General features: G+C 39.5%; 1 long non-coding RNA gene across 1 annotated transcript in view, besides 2 other annotated features; it reads left to right on the forward strand.

The window, feature by feature from the left end:
• Nucleotides 12,186–12,686: an enhancer, noted in NCBI's record as "H3K27ac hESC enhancer chr8:53650644-53651144 (GRCh37/hg19 assembly coordinates)". NCBI's record gives its function as "activates a minimal SCP1, AML or CMV promoter by ChIP-STARR-seq in naive and primed H9 embryonic stem cells {active_cell/tissue: H9 hESC(naive and primed)}" and the evidence as "EXISTENCE:reporter gene assay evidence [ECO:0000049][PMID:30033119]".
• Nucleotides 12,687–13,187: an enhancer, noted in NCBI's record as "H3K27ac hESC enhancer chr8:53651145-53651645 (GRCh37/hg19 assembly coordinates)". NCBI's record gives its function as "activates a minimal SCP1, AML or CMV promoter by ChIP-STARR-seq in primed H9 embryonic stem cells {active_cell/tissue: H9 hESC(primed)}" and the evidence as "EXISTENCE:reporter gene assay evidence [ECO:0000049][PMID:30033119]".
• The window catches only part of LOC105375835 (uncharacterized), a 37,314-nt gene continuing 35,151 nt past the window's right edge, over nucleotides 18,589–20,751 (forward strand). Inside the window, exons 1-2 of the long non-coding RNA XR_001745898.2 lie at nucleotides 18,589–18,880; nucleotides 19,029–19,228. This is a non-coding gene — a long non-coding RNA (uncharacterized LOC105375835). The remainder of the gene's footprint in view (nucleotides 18,881–19,028; nucleotides 19,229–20,751) is intronic.

Consider the following 20,751-nt stretch of genomic DNA (forward strand, 5'->3'; position numbering starts at 1 on the left):
CAAGATAGTGTAGTACTGGCATAAGATCAGACAGATCGAATAGAATTGAAAGTCCAGAAATGAACTAAGTTTAAAGTCAATTGATTTTTCTCCTGAATCAAGGACTAGCAAAAAATAATAATAATAAAATAGGCCAGGCTCTGTAGCACAGGCCTGTAATCCTAGCACTCTGGGAGGCTGAGGCAGGAGGATCGCTTGAGGCCAGGAGTTCAACACCAGCCTGGGCAACATAGTGATACTGTCTCTACTAAAAAAAAAAAAAAAAAAAAAAAAAAAAAAAATTAAAAATTAGCCAAGCATGGTGGTGTGAGCCTGCAGCCCAGCCACTTGGGAGTCTGTGGTGGGAGGATTGCTTGAGCTCAGGAGGTGGAGGCTACAGTGAGCCATGATCATGCCACTGCACACCAGCCTGGTCGACAGAGCAAGACACTCAAAAAACAGAAAAGGATATTTCAAAGGAGGAAGGAAGAGCCTTCTCAATAAATAGTGCTGGGAAAACTGAATATCCACATGCAAAACAATACAGTGGCACTCATACCATAGACAAAATGATCTCAAACTGGACCAAAGACTTTAATAGCTAAAACTATAAAATTCTTAGAAGAAAACAGGAGTACATCTCTTCAGCTTTGTATTAGGCAATGGTGTCTTAGATATTACACTAAAAGCACACTTAACACACACACACAATTAGATAAATTGGACCTTATCCAAATTAAAAACTTTTGTGCTTCAAAAGATATCATCAAGAAAGTGAAAAGAGGCCGGGCATGGTAGCTCATGCCTGTAATCCCAGCATTTGGGGAGGCATCAGTTTGAGCTCAGGATTTCAAGACCAGCCTGAGCATCATGGCGAGACCCCATCTCTACAAAAATTACCCTATGTGGGGGCTCACGCCTGTGGTCTCAGCTACTCAGGAGGCTGAGGCTGGAGAATCACTTGAAGCCAGGAGGCGGCAGGGCTGCAGTGAGCCAAGATCAAGCCAGTGAACTCCAGCCTGAGTGACAGAATCTAAGACCCTGTCGCAAAAAAAAAAAAAAAAAAAAGTGAAAAGACAAAACATAGAATGTGAGAAAATATTTGCAAATCACATAACAAATAAGGAACAATATATAAACAATTCTTCCAACTCAACAATAAAAAGACAACCCAACTTTAAAAATGGGCTAAAGATTTGAGTAGACATTTCTACAAAGATATGCAGATAGCCAATAAGCACATGAAAAGATGTTCAACCTCATTACTCACTAGGGAAATGCAATGAAATCACAACAAGATACCACTTCATATCCACCAGGGTAGTCAAAATTAAAAAGGCAATAGCAAGTGATAGTAAGGATATGGAGAAATTGGAACCCTTGTTAGTGGGATTACAAAATGTTGTAGCCACTTCGGAAAACAGTTTGGCAGTTCCTCGAAAGGTTAGAGAGTTAACTACATCGCGTAGCAATTCCACTTCTAGAGAAATGAAAACATACATCACAAAAAAAAACACAAATGTTCATACAGCATTACTCATAACAGCTAAAAAGTGGAAGCAATCCAAGTGTTTTCTAATGTTGAATGGATAACCAAAATGTGGTGTATCCAACAATAGAATATTATATGTGATAGAAGAGTTTCTGTTCCTCAAATAATAAGCATAGAATGACTACGTGATCCGGCACTTCCACTCCTAGGTTATATACTCAAGATAATTAAAAACCTATGTCCACACAAATGTTCAGAGAAGCATACTTAAGTAGGCAAAATGGAAGCAACCCAGATATCAACTGATAAATGCACAGACCAAATGTTGTTTATCCATACAATGGAATATAACCTGGCAGTAACAAGGAGCCAAGTACTGATACTTGAAAACATGCTAAGTGAAAGAAGTCACAAAAGGCCACATATTGTATCTTTACCTTTATATGAAATGTCCAGAATAGGCATATTCATAGACAGAAAATAGATGAGCATTTGCCAGGGGTTGGAGGAAGAAAGAGAAGAATGGGATATGACTGCTACTGGACATAAGATTTCTTTTGAAAATGATGAAAATGTTCTGAAATTAGTGGTGCTAGTTTCATAACTTGATGAATATACTAAAAACCACTGAATTGTACACTTTAAAATGATGACTTTTTGGTTTGTAAATTATATTTCAATAAAGCTGTTATTTTAGAATATTTAATTATGTTTTTAAAAATAAGATAAGCATGAAATCAACCAAGAGAATAGCCACATACGAACCTGTGGCTAGCTCTGGTTCATTTACGCCTCACTGAGGTGGTACTCCAGAAGAAGAAATCTAATGGAGCAATGAATGATAGCCAAGATGGGGTGGGGTGTCCGAGTGGTTACCCCCGGGTACAGACGATAAAGGAGTACACTGTCTATACGATTGCCATTTAGCAACAATAAAAATAACTAGAATCAGTCTGCTTTTATTATCACCTTTCTGCCATCAAATCCTAAACAATGTCATTGAAAAAATAAACTCTCACCTCAAAAACCTGGTTGGTCCAAGCCAGGGTTTCTCATTCTGTTGTCATTTTGGGCCAAATAATTGTTGTGGGAGGCTGTCCTGTGCATCTTTGGATGTTTAGCTGCATCCCTGGCCTCCACCCACTTGATTTCAGTTGCACTCCCCACAATGGTAACAGCCAAAAGTGTCTCCAGACATTGCCAAATGTCCCGAAAGGCAAAACAGCCAAGGTTGAGAACCATTGATTTAAGTTCTAAATAAATGCTGTGATTGTCTATTGAATTTTAGTAACGTGTAAGCCTCAAATTAGCACATTGTTATTGCTTATCTTTTAATTATACTCTGGGGAAGTTAATTCAAAGAACTCTTGATTATACAACTGGTCCCCAACATACAAGGACTCGGCTTTATATGTGTGTTGGTATTGAAAGTACATTCTTAACAGTTCTAAATTGTTTCAGCTTGTTTTGTGCACAGCTCTTATCTCCAACCTTTGGCACTATAGAAATCCTAGCTTTAAATAGCAGATTCATAATACACGATAGCGCCGTGATTGTAAAGGTGTCAAAACAAATTGAATAACTTCAGTTCTGTTATTGTATAATATATACACACCATTTTCTGAGACATATAGGCAGAGTTCCCTTTCTCTTATTTTCACATGTCTCCCTGAACCTTTAATTTTTTTCAAAAAAACACATTCATGTAATGGAAAAGTATTAATTTGTTTCCTTTTTTGTACTGTATTATTTTATTTACATTTTTATTTGAAAAAATTTAATGATAGTTACAAAGTAAAAATCAATAAAATATTTTTCAGTGTCTTCTTTCTGGTCTGTATTTCATTTCATGACTTAAAAATAATTTTCTCCTTTAGAGGAGGAAGTCATTTAAAATGATCTGTACTAGGTGTCAAATGTGCTAGGCACACCACTGATTTAAGGAAAGAGATAAAGTACACCACGATGAAAGTAGAAAAGAAGAAAAAGTGCATTAAGATGAAAAAGAACATAAATAGATGAGGGGCCAAGGAATCGAAGGTGAGAAAGCAGAAAATTGAGAGAGACCAGGAGGCAAAATTGGCGACTTCTGAAATGAGTAGATTATTTAATTGCATTTGTTCTGTTTTTATTTCCTTATCCTTTGTTTGGGCGGTGGGCTAAGGTCTGTACATTATCATCTGTTCTTCCCACACATTTGAAAGATTAGTTGCCAATTAATTACTATTTTTAATTCTTCAACTGCTCTGTAGCTTCAGCTGTGCCTTGCCCTGATCCACGTCGTTGCAGAGGCCCAAAAATTATTCTCTAGGTGCTACGAAGGAGGAAAGAATGCCCAGAATAGGGAGCTAACAAAATTGAATGGATATGTGTGAGATATTAGGCTAGATGCTTTACATACCTTATTCCATCTCTCACAACAAACTGCCATTTTACTTGAGGAAACTGAAGCTCAGCTTAATGGGGTTATCCCTTTCAAATTCTATTTAAAATTCTCAATAGGATGAATAACACTTATTGGCAGATTTTTTTTTTTTTTTTTTTTTACTATCTCAGTCCTAGGCTGATTTTTACTCTCTCAAAAACCAAACAATATAATGGCATACTACTTACACGATATGATAAGTCACCTTTTAAAGTTACGCACTCTGGTAGTTCTTAATTATGGAACAATCAATACATATGTGTTTTTTTAAAGGAAACTTTTAGACATAAGTACTTGAATCGCTGGTAGATGCCTACTTTTTGTGCTATGCATTCTATAGCATGTAATTAACCCTTGTTGAATGCATAATGTATTAAGTTTGTAGCTTACCTAGATAATGAAGTTGGTTCCAAGAAAAATTGTTGAGAAATGGCTCTGTCAGTGAAGTCTCTACAAAATTTTAATTTGAAAGGTAAATAATAAAAGGAGAGGCTGGGAGTGGTGGCTCATGCCTGCAATCCCAGCACTTTGGGAGGGCGAGGTGGGAGGACTGCCTGAGGCCAAGAGTTTGAGACCAGCCAGGGCAACAGAGCAAGACCCCGTCTCTGCAGAAAATGTTTAAAAACCAAATTAGCTGAACATAGTGCTGCATGCCTGTAGTCCTAGCTACTTGGGAGGTTGAGACAGAAGGATTCCTTAACCCCAGGACTTCAAGGCAGCAGTGGGCCATGATTGTGCCACTGCACTCCAGCCTGAGCGACAGAGCAAGACCCTGTCTCTAAAATATAATAAAAGGAGACAGAATCACTAAAATAAAGTCCTAATCTGAAACACGAGAGAGAAATAAGACTGACATCTTTTAAAGTATTTATACAGTGTTCTTCTATATCTATAGTTATGAAAGTTTTGGATTGAATTCTGTTTCTATGGTAGAAACCTAAATACTAGAGGAAGTGTGTGCACCATTTTGCCTTGGAATTTCTAAGCATAGCTTCAGAAAGATTAACCACATTAACCCAGCCACGAAATACATTATTACCCAAATATTAATGTCTTGTGCCAAAACTTGCCACTGGTGGATAGGCGGTGTTATACAATTCTTACATGGAAACTGCCTTTGTCATGATATGACAGCCAACTGGAGAATTCAAATACAGTATATGAACTTGAACTTGAGCTTTAAATCTTTGGTATGTCATTTTAATAACAAAGCAACCTAGCCAGATTTATCCTTAATTCAGTGTAAATATAGACAGGGTGTAGTGGCCTTTAGCCAGCTGGGAGTTATCTCTGCAATTCAAAAGATGATTAATGAGATACTAAGTAGAAAAATTAGCCTTGATATACAGTTTTTTGACTAACTGATGATTGAGGCTATTTATTCAAGTTATGAAAACTGAAAAAGTAACTAGAGTTTAAAAGCAATAAAAGACCATTTTTCCTAATCTGTCCCATTTACCTGTAAGGTCTTGAAATGATGGACTAGGATTGGATTTCCGCGTAGGGTTGGATTTCCATGGGTATTTAGCAACTTCGTCTGTCTTCCCTTAGACAAGGCAATTAGTAGTAAGGAACATTAATTACAGTCCCTCAAAGTTAATACCTAAATATTCAACGTGCCTTGCGATCAGTTTCTTACTAATTGACTCATTAGTTCATTCACTCAACAAATATCTGTCATTGACCAGGCACTCTGATAACATGCTTTTTCTATTCTCCCCCATTTTGCTCATAACTAATTATATTTGTATGCACACAGCATATCTCTTTCTCCCCAAGGTCCACTAACCCTTTCTTTTTTATTATTATTTTTAATTTTTTCCACCAACCCTTTCTGCTTATCCTAAACATGGCGTAACTCTAGAACAGAGAGCATGTCTTGTTCATCTCTGTATACCAGAGCCTGACATACAGCTTTTAATAATGAATTGCATTTAATGTTCAGTAAAATAAACAGGCAGGAGGACACCCCCAAACAGTGTCAAAGATAAACCTAGTTGTCCATTAGTAGGTGTGTGGATAAGTAAATAGTATATTTGTGCAATTTAATAGTACTCAGTAGAAAATATTTGCCAACTATTCATCCAACAAAGGACTAATACCCAGAATCTATAAGGAACTTAAATCAACAAAATAACAACCCCATTTGAAAAGTGGGCAAAAGACATGAATAGACATTTCTCAAAAGAAGACATACTAGCTGAGTGTGGTGGCTCACGCCTGTAATCCCAGCACTTTGAGAGGCCAAGGCGGGTGGATCACGTGAGGCCAGGAGTTCAAGACCAGCCTGGCCAACATGGTGGAACCCTGTCTCTACTAAAAAATACAAAGATTAGCCGGGTGTGGTGGTGCACACCTGTATTCCCAGCTACTCAGGAGGCTGAGGCACGAAAATCGCTTGAACCTGGGAGGCAGAGGTTGCAGTGAGCCGAGATCATGCCATTGCACTCCAGCCTGGGCAACAGAGTGAGACTCTGTCTCAAAAAAAAAAAAACAAAAAACAAACAAACAAAAAAAGACATGGAATCAACCTAAGGGACCAACAACAATTGATTTGATGAAGAAAATGTGGTCATATACTCCATGGAATACTACACAGCCATAAAAAAAAGAACAAGATTATGTCCTTTGCAGCAACATGGATGGCACTGGAGGCCATTATCCTAAGCAAATTAACATAGAAACAGAAAACCAAAAACTCCATGTTCTCACTTATAAGTGGGAGCTAAACAATGAGTACACATGGACATAAACATGGAAATAGACACTGGAGACTCCTAAAGAAAGGATGGAGGAAGAGGGGCAAGAGTTGGAAAACTATTATTGGATACTATGTTCATTATTGGGTGATGGGATCGATAGAAGCACAAATCTCGGCATCATGCAATATACCCATGCAACAAACCTGCACATGTAACCCCTGAATCTAGAATTTAAAAATACAAATGTACCCAGTAATTAAAAATGCATGAAGTAGAACCACATGTATCAATATGGATATCTCAAAAACATAGAATTTAAGTAAAAAATTGAAACATTTGATAATACGCAATATTACAAAGGAGTGAGAAAATGGGCACTTATTTATGTCTCAGAATATAAATTTACTATAACCTCAAGGGAGGGCAATTTGGCAAGTGATTACAATTAATAATTACAATGAGTAAAGGGTACATTCCAATTTATTCTCTAGATATGTCTACATGTATGAAAAATGAACAAGAATAGTTATTGCAATATTGTTTACAGTAGTAAAAGATGTCTATTAACAGGACAGGTCAGATAAATTATGTTCTGCATATTCAATGCATCTTCAACAAAACAACAAGGAATATCTTTATACACTCTACGTAATTATCTCTAAATACTTCTAGAAGAATACAGATGAAATGGGAAGCATTGGTTGCTTCCAGGAAGTGACATTGGCTATCTTGGGCACATGTATAGAAAAGAAACTTTTCACTGCTTACCCTCAAATAATTTGAGTTTTGAACCATGTGACCATATGAATTATCTCTTCACAAAAAGAAAAGGCAATTGAAAGCCGGCCTGGTGGTTTGGACCTATAATCCCAGTGTTTTGGGAGCTTAAGGTGGGAGGATGGCTGAGGCCTGGAGTTCAAGACCAGCCTGTGCAACATGGTGAGACACCCTCCCTACCCCGGTCCAGGTTCTAAAAAATAAAAGATGTTGGGAATTTTTTAAAAAGATGATCCAGCTGGTGGGAAGGCAGAGCACCTTGCCTCCTCTGAGAGGCAGCTCCCCTTCCACATGGAGGAGAAGAGGAACAAGACTCTTACAGAGTTGGAGGTGGAGCTCGACAGTGGGTGAGGAACCCCTGCTTCTTCTTGTGACCTCCCACCTGGACCACACAGTGTCACACTGCCTGCTCTAGGTGGCCACTCAGGCCCTGCAGACTAAGACCCCAGCCTCCACGAGGCTGGATTGTGGTAAGACAAAAGAGCTCCAGCCAGCTGTGGCTCCTGCCAGTACCTCTCGCTAGCAGGGCGATCTTGAGAGAGTGCCTTACCCTCTCATTGCCTCAGTTTCTTCATCTCTAAAATGAAAATCGTAATGCCTGCTTTGTAAGAGTATTGTGAAGTAATACTTGTAAAGAGCCAAAAACAACACCTGGCATACAGTAAGTGCTCAATTACTACTGTCTGTTGTTAGTTCTAGAAGTACTCCTCCTTTCCCGCTGTATGCCTTTACTCAGGCTGGCACTTCTGAAAACTTGTCCTGTCATCTTCCTGTCAAAAGACTACCAATTTTTAACCTTTTATCCTGGTCCACCCAAGTGGATGTTATTTGTCCTCCGAACCATCACAGAGCTATGAACTTTTCCTATGGTCCTTCTAAGCTGCCTTTCTGAAGTTATCTGGGTACCTGTCCTGTTTCCCAGTTTTAGACTGTCAGTGCCTGAGGAATCTTTATTCTTGGAAATGTCTTTCACAGCTAATTGTCCATAGTAGTAAAGAAACAGTTTCTAAAAACAATCATCTTTACTAGATGACAAACTTAATATCCTTAAAATTCTTATGAGATATAAATGATCTCGTTAAAAAATAAAAAGTATTTAAAAGAATTCAATTATTTTCTTACCTATCCCAAATTATTCCTAAGAGGCAGTCACTAATACACACACACACACAATTTGTATATATATATTCTTCCACGTGTTTTTACAAGTACATAAATATGTGTATGTGTGATGTCAGTAGACTTAGACTTTATCACATTTCTTTCTTTTTCTTTTTTTTTTTTTTTTGAGACGGAGTTTCCCTCTACCTCTTGGGTTCAAGCAATTCTGCCTGGGCCTCCCGAGTAGCTGGGATTACAGCTGCCTCCCACCATGCCCAGTTAATTTTTTTTTTTTGTATTTTTAGTAGAGATGGGACTTCGCCATGTTGGCCAGGCTGGTCTCAAACTCCTGACCTCAGGTGATCCACCTACCTCAGCCTCCCAAAGTGCTGGGATTACAGGTGTGAGCCACTGTGCCTGGCCTTATCATATTTCTTTTAATGCTTTTGTAGCATTCTATCACATGAAATATAAGTCTATCCAGATAGATATAACACCATTTATTTAATTGGCCCATTTTTTGATATGTACGATTTTTTCAAGTCTGCTTCTACAGTTTTCAATTTTACAACTGTCATGATAAAATCTGCCTTTTCTTTCCTTTTTATCACTACACTTTAAGTCATGAGTAAACTCTCTTGCACAATCATAGGGTTGTTCTGTATAGTCAAAAGTTTTAGGCAGTGAAAATCATTCCTGTGATTTCTACCTCTGAGAGACTGATGTCTTGGAACTCAATTTAGAGCCCACAGATGCTTTCCAGTTTCTTTCTACTGAGGGCACATTGGTGTCTGACCACATTTGGTCTCCCTTTATTTGCCTTTCTGACCCCCCTAACTCAGTACCCTACATTCTCTCTCTTCTGGTCCTTCTGATAGAGTTTTTAAAACTCGGCCTCACTTTTAGCATAACTGGTAAGTATGATTTTTTTATTGTACCCAGCTTTGGTTTCTATATTTCCCTCCTCTTCTTTCCCTTCTCTCCCGTCTTTCAATGTTAGGTTCTTAAGAAAGGAAATAAGTGCAATTATAGACTTCAGTAAGAATATTTGCATTGTAACCACCTTTTATTTTAATAAATACCCTGTGTTCTGTGAAAAGGTTTTTCAGGATCATCTGAGCAATTTAGAGAATTATTTTGGGCTAGGGAGCATTTTTGTAATCCTAATTTAACAGCCATGGAGTTACTTTTATGTTTTCCATTATTGCTGGGCCACAAGCTTTACCCATGACTGCTGCTGGGTTTGTTCAAGGGCCCCATGCCACTTTCATGGTGGCAATACTTTGCAGTTACACAGTTTTACAATTTCTGCATGCATGGTCTCATACAGGCCTAGTCAGTGGTGTGAAGCTTGAACAGAAAGAAGAAATTCGGCCGGGCACAGTGGCTCATACCTATAATCCCACCATTTTGGGAGGCAGATCACCTAAGGTAAGGAGTTTGAGACCAGCCTGGCCAACATGGTGAAACCCCGTCTCTACCAAAAATACAAGAAATTAGCTAGGCATAGTGGCACGCACCTGTAATCCCAGCTACTTGGGAGATTGAGACAGGAGAATCGCTTGAACCTGGGAGGCGAAGGTTGCAGTAAGCCAAGATCTCACCACCGCACTCCGACAGAGTGAGACAAAATCTCAAAAAAAAAAAAAAAAAAAGAAATTCCAGCTGGGAGTGCTACCCCCATCCACCTAATTCTGAACACACTAGGCAGGAAATACAAATGTTAAATTATATATTCGGCATAGTTTTAATTGGTCAGCTTTATATAGTTTAACCTTATGAAACTGCTGTTGTCTGAAGGGCAGTTCACCTGTGAACCTACTACATGTCAGGCATTATACCAGGCCCAGCAGATTTGGCAGTGATCAAGACTCAAATTGCAAAACATCCATCCAACATCTATGTTTTCTCTCATCTTCCTTCCTTCCTTTTTTCTTCTTATGGACATGAACCAGAACGAATATCTTCTTTTCCATTTCCTTTCTTCCCCCCTCCTTCCTTTCTTCCTATTTTTTCTTTCTCCTTCCTCTCGTTCCTTTTCATCCCTCCACGTTGCATGAAGGATTTGAGGTGAAAACTGTGTTCTCATTACAATAGCACATCCAGACTTAAATGTTCTGGTGTACAGTTTGAGTTATTTAGACTTGTCTCACATATTCACACAGACTACACAGATTTCTTAAATTTGCCATTCATGAGGGAACATATAATTCTGCATAATTACGGATTTCAAGACACTTAAAAACTAGATTTTGTGGCCGGGTGCGGTGGCTCACGCCTGTAATTCTAGCACTTTGGGAGGCTGAGGCGGGCGGATCACTTGAGGTCAGGAGTCGAAAACTAGCCTGGCCAACATGGTGAAACCTCGTTTCTACTAAAAATACAAAAAAATTAGCCTGGCGTGGTGGTGGGGTGGTGGATGCCTGTAATCCCATCTACTTGGGAAGCTGAGACAGGAGAATTGCTTGAACCCAGGAGGCAGAGGTTGCAGTGAGCCAACATCGTCCAATTGTACTCCAGCCTGAGCGGCAGAGTGAGACTCTGTCTAAAAAAAGAAAAGATTTTATATCTCTCTTTTTGGATATTGCCATCTACTACATTAGGAAACAAATAAGTTTAAATTCCTATTGTTGCTTTTATTTTTAAAATAAGTCACTTTAATAATTGAGATTTGAGAAAAAATTAATTTCATTTGTTCACTGTTTCTTTAGTACATATTTTAATGACATGTACAGGTATTACCTAATAAAATGCTGGTCTTTTGTATGTTGAATGCACAGATTCTAATTTCCTTTACAGAAATTTGCTTTACTCCACAGCCACTGGGAATGGGCTGCTTTACATAGAGTTGGCCAGCTCCTGTCAGGAGCTATTTCCACAGATTGGAACAACAGACTGCATGTGTTTCAATGTAACACCAGGGGTCACTGTAAGCTAGAAACCTTCAACCATGTTTAGAAATGTTGAATTAATGTTAGTCACAACATTTTTATTTGAATACTGGCTTATTAGTGAGATTATTTTTTTAAACCTCTGGTTTTATAATAACCTATATTGTCTTTAATCATCTTCAAACTGTCCCATTTTAATTCAACTAAAAAGGAAGTAAAAATTCCTCATTTACAATTTTTAGAAGCAGCACTGCCACAATCAGATGAACAATGACAAAGTATAGTACTTTCAGGAACCTTGAGAATTCCTGTTTCCAGCTGAAATTAGATACGATAGAGTTCAATAGATAAAGCCACGCTGGAAATCAGGAAAGATGAATTCTTAAATATGCTGCATGTAGTATAAACTTTCTGCCTAAATTTTCAGGTTAGGATGAGACTAGATTATTTCTAAGATCCTATTCAACTCTTCATTTTGTTTTGATCCTACTCAGCTCTTAGTTTAATCATTCAATTAAACAAACTTGAACCATCTACTGCTTTTAAGTATTCTAATATTATACAGAAGGCCATGGAGCCTTTTCCTTAAGTTCCTGAAGGGCCACTTTGTTTAAGGATGGGCCTTAGGGGAAAGCTGAACCAGGTCTAGGGCTATTGGAGATTTAAATCCCCTAAAGAGACAGACCTGGGCTTAGTGACCACAAGGGATGAACCTAAATTCTTATCTTGAAAGAAGCTAAATCTCCAGCAGCCTGGCCCAGTGCTTGCCTCTGGCCATTACCCATCACATGTTTCACAGGCAGTCTCAATTCTACAGGGATAACTCCACCCCTCCCAAGAGGAGGTTACCCTCCAGGCTCCAACACGCCCTCAGATACACCCAAGCCAATCAACTGAAACCAATGAAACATTTCTATCAGGGGCTTTCAAGGACTTCCTTAGGTTTCTTTGAGCTTTTTCCTCAAACTCCTCCAACCTTAAATATTTGCTTACTCCAGTCCCACATCCCAGGGCCCTCACCTTCCATAAATCAAATCACTTTCATTCCACTTTATTGCTAAAGTGCCACCGCTCACCCCAGCCTTTGCTTCTCCCTCAGCACCCGATTCCCAAAGCATTCCTGTGTTTTGCGAAAGCTCGCAGAACTTTCTTCATCACTAACCTGTTATCTGTGGCACTCACCTTCCCTCTGCCACATTCGTTTTCTTGAACATAACGATAACCGAGTTATTATATGCAAGTATATCTGTATCACCAGTAAATTTTCAAACTCTCATAAAAAGCGACCAAATCACATACCCCATCCAGACCCTCACAGCCTAGCAGAGAACTAACTTCCTTCCTTCCTTCCTTCCTTCCGTCCTTCCTTCCTTCCTTCCTCCCTCCCTCCCTTCCTCCCTCCCTTTCTTCCTTCCTTCATTCCTTTTCTTTCTTTCTTGACTGAGTTTCGCTCTTGTTGCCCAGGCTGGAGTGCAATGGCGCCATCTCGGCTCACCACAACCTCCGCCTCCTGGGTTCAAGTGATTCTCCTGCCTCAGCCTCCTGAGTAGCTGGGATTATAGGCATGCGCCACCACGCCCAGCTAATTTTGTATTTTTAGTAGAGGCGGGGTTTCTCCATGTTGGTCAGGGCAGCCTCCCAAAGCACTGGGATTACAGGCGTGAGCCACCGCAACTCAACTTGTAATGGATCAATAACTCAATCTGAGTTGCTATCTAAGCCATATGTTTGTTACTGCCTTTGCATGTTCCACCCTTCTTTCAGGTGAGAGCTCATCAGAATATGAAACAGACTTGTTAGATTTCCATTGGTTTGGGGCCATTGGGGAACCAGAGGTTTACTCATAAGAATTAAAGTGTAGAATGTACTAGAGATGACAATAGTATTAATTAAAGAAACAAAATTGTTTAAATAGAAAAAGCTGGGCATGGTGGCTCACGCCTGTAATCCCAGCACTTTGGGAGGCCAAGACGGTCAGATCACCTGAGGTCAGGAGTTCGAGACCAGCCTGGCCAACATGGTGAAACGTCGTCTCTACTAAAAATTAGCTGGGCCTGGTTGCGCATGTCTGTAATCCCAGTTACTTGGGAGGCTGAGTCATGAGAATCACTTGAACCTGGGAGGCAGAGGTTTCAGTGAGCCAAGATCATGTCACTGCACTCCAGCCTGAGGGACAGAGTGAGACTCCATCTCAAAAAGAAAAGATATTTAAAGCCAGATGTGGTAGCACATGCCTGTAATCCCAGCCACTTGGGAGGCTGAGGCAGGAAGATCTATTGAGCACAGGAGTTCAAGTCCAGCTTAGACAATGTAGTGAGACGCTGTCTCTAAAAAAGAAAAGTTATTTAAAACTTTCATTTTATGATATATTTGCCCTCTGTGGTACTTATGAATGCAAGCACAAACACATACTATATTTTTAGTGTTAAACATATACTTATGCTGAAATAAAATTAGTTGCTCTTGGAAGGCGGACATTTTCCGGATGTAGCCTCTAGGCAAATTAGTTTGGGAGCCACATTTATACTCAAGGCAATATAGAAGGTTTAATAGCTGTGCTCACAAATAAAGCAAGGGTTGAAAAATGGTCAAGCATCTCTTTCTAAATCTATTTTAGTCTTCATGCCTTCAAAGATTCATATTGTGGCTTTGATGGGGAGAATACTGTTTGTACCTTGTACTTACTTTTCAATTTACGAAGAGTAATGGTAAAGAGTATCAAAAAATTTGATGCCAATCTTGATTGATACACAATTAAAGATAGAGTTCTGAGCATACTAAAGGATTTCTTATAATTGAATTTAAACAGTTGTTAAATCTTAGCTAAATAATTGGGATACTACGCAAAGAAAAATGAAAACAAACATTGATACAAGATGTATTATGGGCTAGTCTCTACAATAGCTTATCAAAAATCCTAATCATAACACTATGAGAACCCTCATTTTCCAAAGAAAACAGGAAGAGGGTGGGTGAGTCATTGGCCCGAGATTAATTACCCAGTTAGGAAGTGACAAAGGTGGGGCCAGGCATGGTGGTTCATGCCTGTAATCCCAGCACTTTGGGAGGCCGAGGTGAGTGGATCAACTGAGATCGGGAGTTTGGGACCAGCCCGACTAACATAGAGAAACCCCGTCTCTACTAAAAATTCAAAATTAGCTGAGCGTGGTGGCGCATGCCTGTAATCCTGGCTACTCAGGAGGCTGAGGCAGGAGAATCACTTGAATCCAGGAGGCGGAGGTTGCAGTGAGCCAAGATGGTGCCACTGCACTCCAGCCTGGGCAACAAGAGCAAAACTCTGTCTCAAACAAACAAAAAAAGAGAAAGTGACAAAGGTAGGATGTCAGTCCAGAGTTTGGCTCTGAGCCAGTTCTCCACTCTTGTCTGCACTTGGTATTGTCACTTTTTAAGATTTTAACCATTCTGATAAGTGTGCACTGATATTCTATTTTAGTTTACTTAGCATTTTCCTAATGGCTAATGAAGTTGAGCATCTCTTCAGGTGCTTGTTTGTCATCTGTATCTGCTCTCATGTCCTTTGCTCATTTTCTAATTGGATTTTTAAATGCACTGTTGTTTTGAGAGTCCTTTATATATTCTAGATAGTAGTCCTTTGTTGCGTATGTGGTTTACAAATACTTTCTAGGATTCTTTCTTGTCACAATATCTTGTCATTCATGTTTCTAATCCACCAGCCTGGAGATACATTAGGGGGAGCAAAAAACCCAGATTGCATCTGATTATTTGTGAGCAGGTTTGCAGTGCAGAGTCCACTTCACAGTCATCACTTAACCATCTAACTGTAAACTCGATTTCATCTTTTGTGTACCCAATATTTAGTTAGCATTCTTGGTAATGGTTACAAGTTTGTTTTTACGTTTTCCTAAAATAAAACATAACACCAGACATGTGTAAGGAATCTGGTGTTTTAATGTATAATAAATGCCAGTGAAAGTGTTGTATTCCTTATTTCCTTTAACTCACCCAACCAATGGAAGGTATTACCATTATCTTTATTTCACAGATGAAGAAACCTAGGCCTGAAAATGTTAAGTAACTAGCCCAGGTTGCATGGCAACAAAAATAAGATTTATATCAGGTATGAATCATTCGAGAGACGCTTAGCTGCCACTCAATATTGTCTCTTTTATATTCGATTTTGTTGCAAAATTATTTGGCTTTTTAAGAAATCATGAAGTTGCTATGTGTCATTTACTGGGGAAGGGCTGAGAGAACTGATGTTAAAAACACTGTGGATGGGGCCGGGCACAGCAACTCACACCTGTCATCCCAGCACTCTGGGAGGTCAAGGCAGGATTGATTGAGTCCAGGAGTTTAAGATCAGCCAGCACAAAATAGACAGACTCCACTCTACAAAAAATTAAATCAGTCAGGAGTGGTGGTGCACTCCCATAGTCCCAGCTACTTGAGAGGCTGAGGTGGGAGGATCACTTTGAGCCCAGGAGTTCAGGGCTGCAGCAAGCTATGATCACGCCACTGCACTCCAGCCTGGGCAACAGAGCAAGACCCTGCCTCTAAAACAAATAAACAACCAGAAACCCCACCCTGGATGTACTTCCAATTCCAGCCATTGATGGAATAAGAGGGATTCAATTTGCCCTCAGGTCTATTTTAACAAAGAGGCTCAAAAGTAAGCCTAAAAAGGATCAAACAGATTTCAAGTAATTTAATGAAATATTTCTTGGAATACCAAAAAGTCCAACAGTTAATTACATAAAATTGACAACAGTGGCATCTATTTATAAATTACCAGGCACAGAAAGCAATAAAATCTGTCCCAATGCCAAACAGAAAAAAAAAAAAAAGACACAGCTAATAGAATCAGCAAAGACAGTAAAGCAGTTATTAAAAATATACTTCATATGCTCAAGAAGGTTAGAGAAAAGCATGAGCATTATGAGAAAAGGAGCATGTAAAAAGATCCAAATTAAACTTCTAGAGATTAAAAATATAGAGACTGGGCACAGTGGCTCAAGCTTGTAATACTAGCACTTTGGGAGACCAAGGCAGGCGAATCACCTGAGGTCAGGAGTTTGAGACCAGCCTGGCCAACATGGTGAAACCCCGTCTCTACTAAAAATACAAAAAAATTAGCCGGGCATGGTGGCGGACACCTATAATCCCAACTACTCGTGAGGCTGAGGCAGGAGAATCACTTGAACCCAGGAGGCGGAGGTTGCAGTGAGCCAACATGGCACCACTGCACTCCAGCCTGGGCAACAGAGTGAGACCCTATCTCAAAAAAAAAAAAAAAAAAAAAAAAAAAAAAAGAAAAAGAAAAAAAAAAGAAAAGAAAAAGAAAAAAAAAATATCTGAGATGAAAAATACACCAGATGGGATAAACAGCAGATAAGATACTGCAGAAAAAAAAGACTTGTAAAACTGAAGACAAAACAACTGAAACTAACCAAAATGAACAGAAGAAAAATATCTGAAAAATGAAAAGAGCAACATAGTGTGGCCTAAAATGCATCACACATATAGTCTCAGGAAGGAGGGGGTGGCAGTTCAGACAAAAATTTTTTTGAAAAAATAATGGCTGAATATTTATCAAGTGTGAGGAAAACTATAAACCAAATAGATTGAAAAAAAAAAACTCAAGAAACCAAAATCAAAGAAATATAGAAAAACACAACTAAGCACATCTCACTAAGAAGCAAATGGCGGCCAGGCACAGTGGCTCATGCCTGTAATCCCAGCACTTTGGGAGGCTGAGGTGGGAGGACTGCTTGAGCCCAGGAGTTTGAAACCAGCCTGGGTAACACAAGGAGATCTCATCTCTACAAAAAAATAAAAATTTAGCTAGGAGTGGTGGTGCACATCCATGGTCCCAATTGCTTGGGATGCTGAGGTGGGAGGATCTCTTGAGTCTGGGAGTTTGAGGCTGCAGTGAGCCTGGATGGTGCCACTGCACTCTAGCATAGGTGACAGAGGGAGACCCTGTCTCAAAGAAACAAACAAGAAGTAGATGGCAAATTACCACGTATATAAAGATGTTCATGATTATTAACCAACAGAGAAATGCAAATTAAAATCATAGAGAAATCACTCCATACCTACTAAATGCTAAAATTAAAAAGACTTCCAACACCAAATGCTGGCAAAGATACAAAACAACTGTGACTCTCATTCCTGGTGGGAATGCAAAATGATACATCTACTTTGGAAAAACAGTTTGACTGTCTTGTAAATACCATATGACTCAGCTGTCCCACTCCTGTATTTTGTCAAGAGAAATAAATTCCTATGTTCACACAAAGACTAGTACAGACAGATCTTCAAAGCAGCTTTGCTCACAATGACCAAAAACTGGAAACAATCCAATGTCTATCAACAGATGGGTGAATACATACATAGCAGTGTAGCCATTCAAAGGATTTGGTTTTATCAAAGACCAGACTGCAGACTCCAGCAACAGGGCAGAAGAATCACCAAAGCATTATGCTAAGTGAAAGATAAAAGCACTCCCCTTACCCTACTCAAGGTTACATACTTACATGATTCCACTTATATGAAATTTGAGGAAAGAGCCGGGAATGGTGGCTTTTAATCCCAGCTACTCAGGAGGCTGAGGCACAAGGATTACTTGAGCCCAGAAGTTCAAGGCTAAAATAGAGAAGGCCAAGGTAGGAAGCTGAGATCTATGATCAGGACTGCCAGTGGCAAGGAGCACTAGTGAGATGTTTAAGCTGAAACTGTGAAAACAATTGGTAGGCTTGCAAGGGTGAAGCAGGGTTTGTTAACCTTCTCAGGTGATGCAGTAAGCCGTGGGACAAGAGTTGTTAAGAGAACTGCAAGTAGATCATGACAATAAAACAAATGTTTAGGAAGAAGAAAATGCAAATACAGATAGTTGAAGTGCTATGACAGCAGTAAATACTTGGACTGCTGGCTTATGGCGCATTTCTTTCACATGTGCTTTTCTGGAAGTATTCACAACCATTTGAACTAAAACATTTGGATTAAACTTCAAAAATAATAGTGTTCAAGTAAATATATCGCCTCTCTTAAGACACTAGTCAATCAATGATATAAGGATTAATTTAGCATCTCATTTCTTAGGTAAAACCAGACAGGATTTCTTTTGGGACCAGTAAATAACTGCTATCGCTTCTCGACCTTTTGTCTAAGATCAAGTGTCTAAATAATTGCTAAGAACAATTCTGATTTTTTTTTTTTTTTTTTTTTTTTTTGAGACAGAATCTCGGTCTGTCGCCCAGGGTGGAGTGCAATGGCGCGATCTCGGCTCACTGCAACATCCGGCTCCCGGGTTCCAGCCATTCTCCTACCTCAGCCTACCGAATAGCTGGGATTACAGGCGCCCGCCATCACGCCCAGCTAGCTTTTGTATTTTTAGTAGAGACGGGGTTTTGCCACGTTGGCCAGGCTGGTCAACTCCTGACCTCACGTGATCCGCGCACCACAGCCTCCCAAAGTGCTGGGATTACAAGCGTGAGCCACCGCGCCTGGCCGACTAAGAACAATTCTAAAGGTAACTGCTTTTGACAAATTGGAAACCTAACTCACAACAGCTTGTTTTTCTGGATTAACTCCTTTCTATAGAACTCTCCTAAGTGTCGATTTTGCAAAGATATTTCTAAATCAGATTTGCCTAATTATGTTTATGTGTACCCATGCAGACATACTGAAAGACTAAGAAATGTCACAGCACAGGACAACCGAAGCACTTGAAGAAATTTCAAATATTCTTAAAAGTATGAATTCCAATGACAGAAAATGTATTTCATTTGTCAAAATTCTTAATTTCTCAAGTTCAAAAATGCCTTGGCACATTTCCATGGCTCCTCGCTAGAAGAATTTAACTTGGCTCTACTTCCAGGTTTGTAAAAAGACCATTCACAGTTAATTCTATTTTGAAAACTTTTTTAGTCTGAGTATGCTTTAATTGACGGCTTAGTCAATGAGCTTTCACTTTAAAGAATAGTTTTATATGAAATCTTTTTGTGTGTGACTTTGTCTCCCTAGCATTATTTGAGAATTATCGAATTCACAATTAAATAAAATAATCTACAAGAAAAAATGTTTCTCAAACATTTCTATTTTTAAAAAATCATTGAATATCAAAGCAAACTAATGCTCAAAAAAATGACCAAACAATTGCTTGATGATATTGTGTCATATAAACAAAACAAAACAAAATGACCAAACCATTTTCACTTTTCTATGCTGTCAAAAAATCAATTCAGTACTTTTTGTTTAGCATTTGAAATACACAACGACTGCTAAGAATATCACAATTACCTTGTCAAAGTCTAGTTCTTATCCTTCCGTGGTGGAGGTAGAGGCGGACGAAAGCAAATGCTGTAGAAACGTTAGTTCTAAGTTCAGAATAAACACCTCAGAACTCTCTTCCTTAAATCCTTTTTAGGGTATTTATGCATTTGCCCCACCTCTGGCCATCTAATTTAAATTTAAAAGAAGGTCGGGTGCGGTGGCTCAAGCCCCTAATCTCAGCACTTCTGAGGCCGAGGCGGGCGGATTACTTGAGGTCAGAAATTCGAGATCAGCCTGAGAAACATGGCGAAGCTCCCTCTCTACCAAAAACAAAAAATAGCTGGGCGTGGTGACGCGGGCCTGTGGTCCCACCTACACAGGAGGCTAAGATGGGAGGACCGCTTATGCCCACGAGGTCGAGGCTGCTTTGAGCCAGCCTGGACGACAGAGCAAGACCCAGTCCCAAATAAATAAATAAATAAATAAATAAATAAATAAATAAATAAATGTAAAAGAAGACAAAAGAGCTTTTTGGTCTTCAGGTAGGAGTTAATTCCGTTTCCCAGGAGATAGGATATAGATTTATTATCGCGGGAGAAACCGAAAGAGTCTCATCACGTTATGTAGTAGAATAGATCAAGATTGATTCATGGACTCAGCAAATAGTTATTGGGGCGCTTCTCGGTTCCAGGCAGTACTAAAAGCTAGAAATATGAAAAATAAATAAGTACATTCAACCAAGTCTTATCCTCAAAAGAATTTACAGTTGTGAAGAGGGAAGTGAGAGGAAGCAGTCAGTACAATTCATTGTGAGTGCTGTGATGCTCAGCAGCATTGGGAGCGGTGCGGTCTCCGGAGGGACAGCCACCTACTCTTTGAGGCAAAACAAAGCGTAGAGAGGTGGCAGGTGGGGAAGGGGTTTGGAAAGGGAGAGGTTGGCAGGAGTCTCCCTCTAAGCAAACTGAAAAGCCAGAGAAACTGGCCTAGATAGAAGAAAAGCCTTTTTCAGGCCAGGCGAGGCGGCTCACGCCTGTAATCCCAGTACTTTGGGAGGCCGGGGCTGGTGGATTACCTGATGTCAGGAGTTTGAGGCCAGCCTGGCCAACATGATGAAATCCCGTCTCCGCT

The sequence above is a fragment of the Homo sapiens genome, chromosome 8 (genome assembly GCF_000001405.40).
Source record: "Homo sapiens chromosome 8, GRCh38.p14 Primary Assembly".
In the NCBI taxonomy this organism is placed as follows: Eukaryota; Metazoa; Chordata; class Mammalia; order Primates; family Hominidae; genus Homo; species Homo sapiens.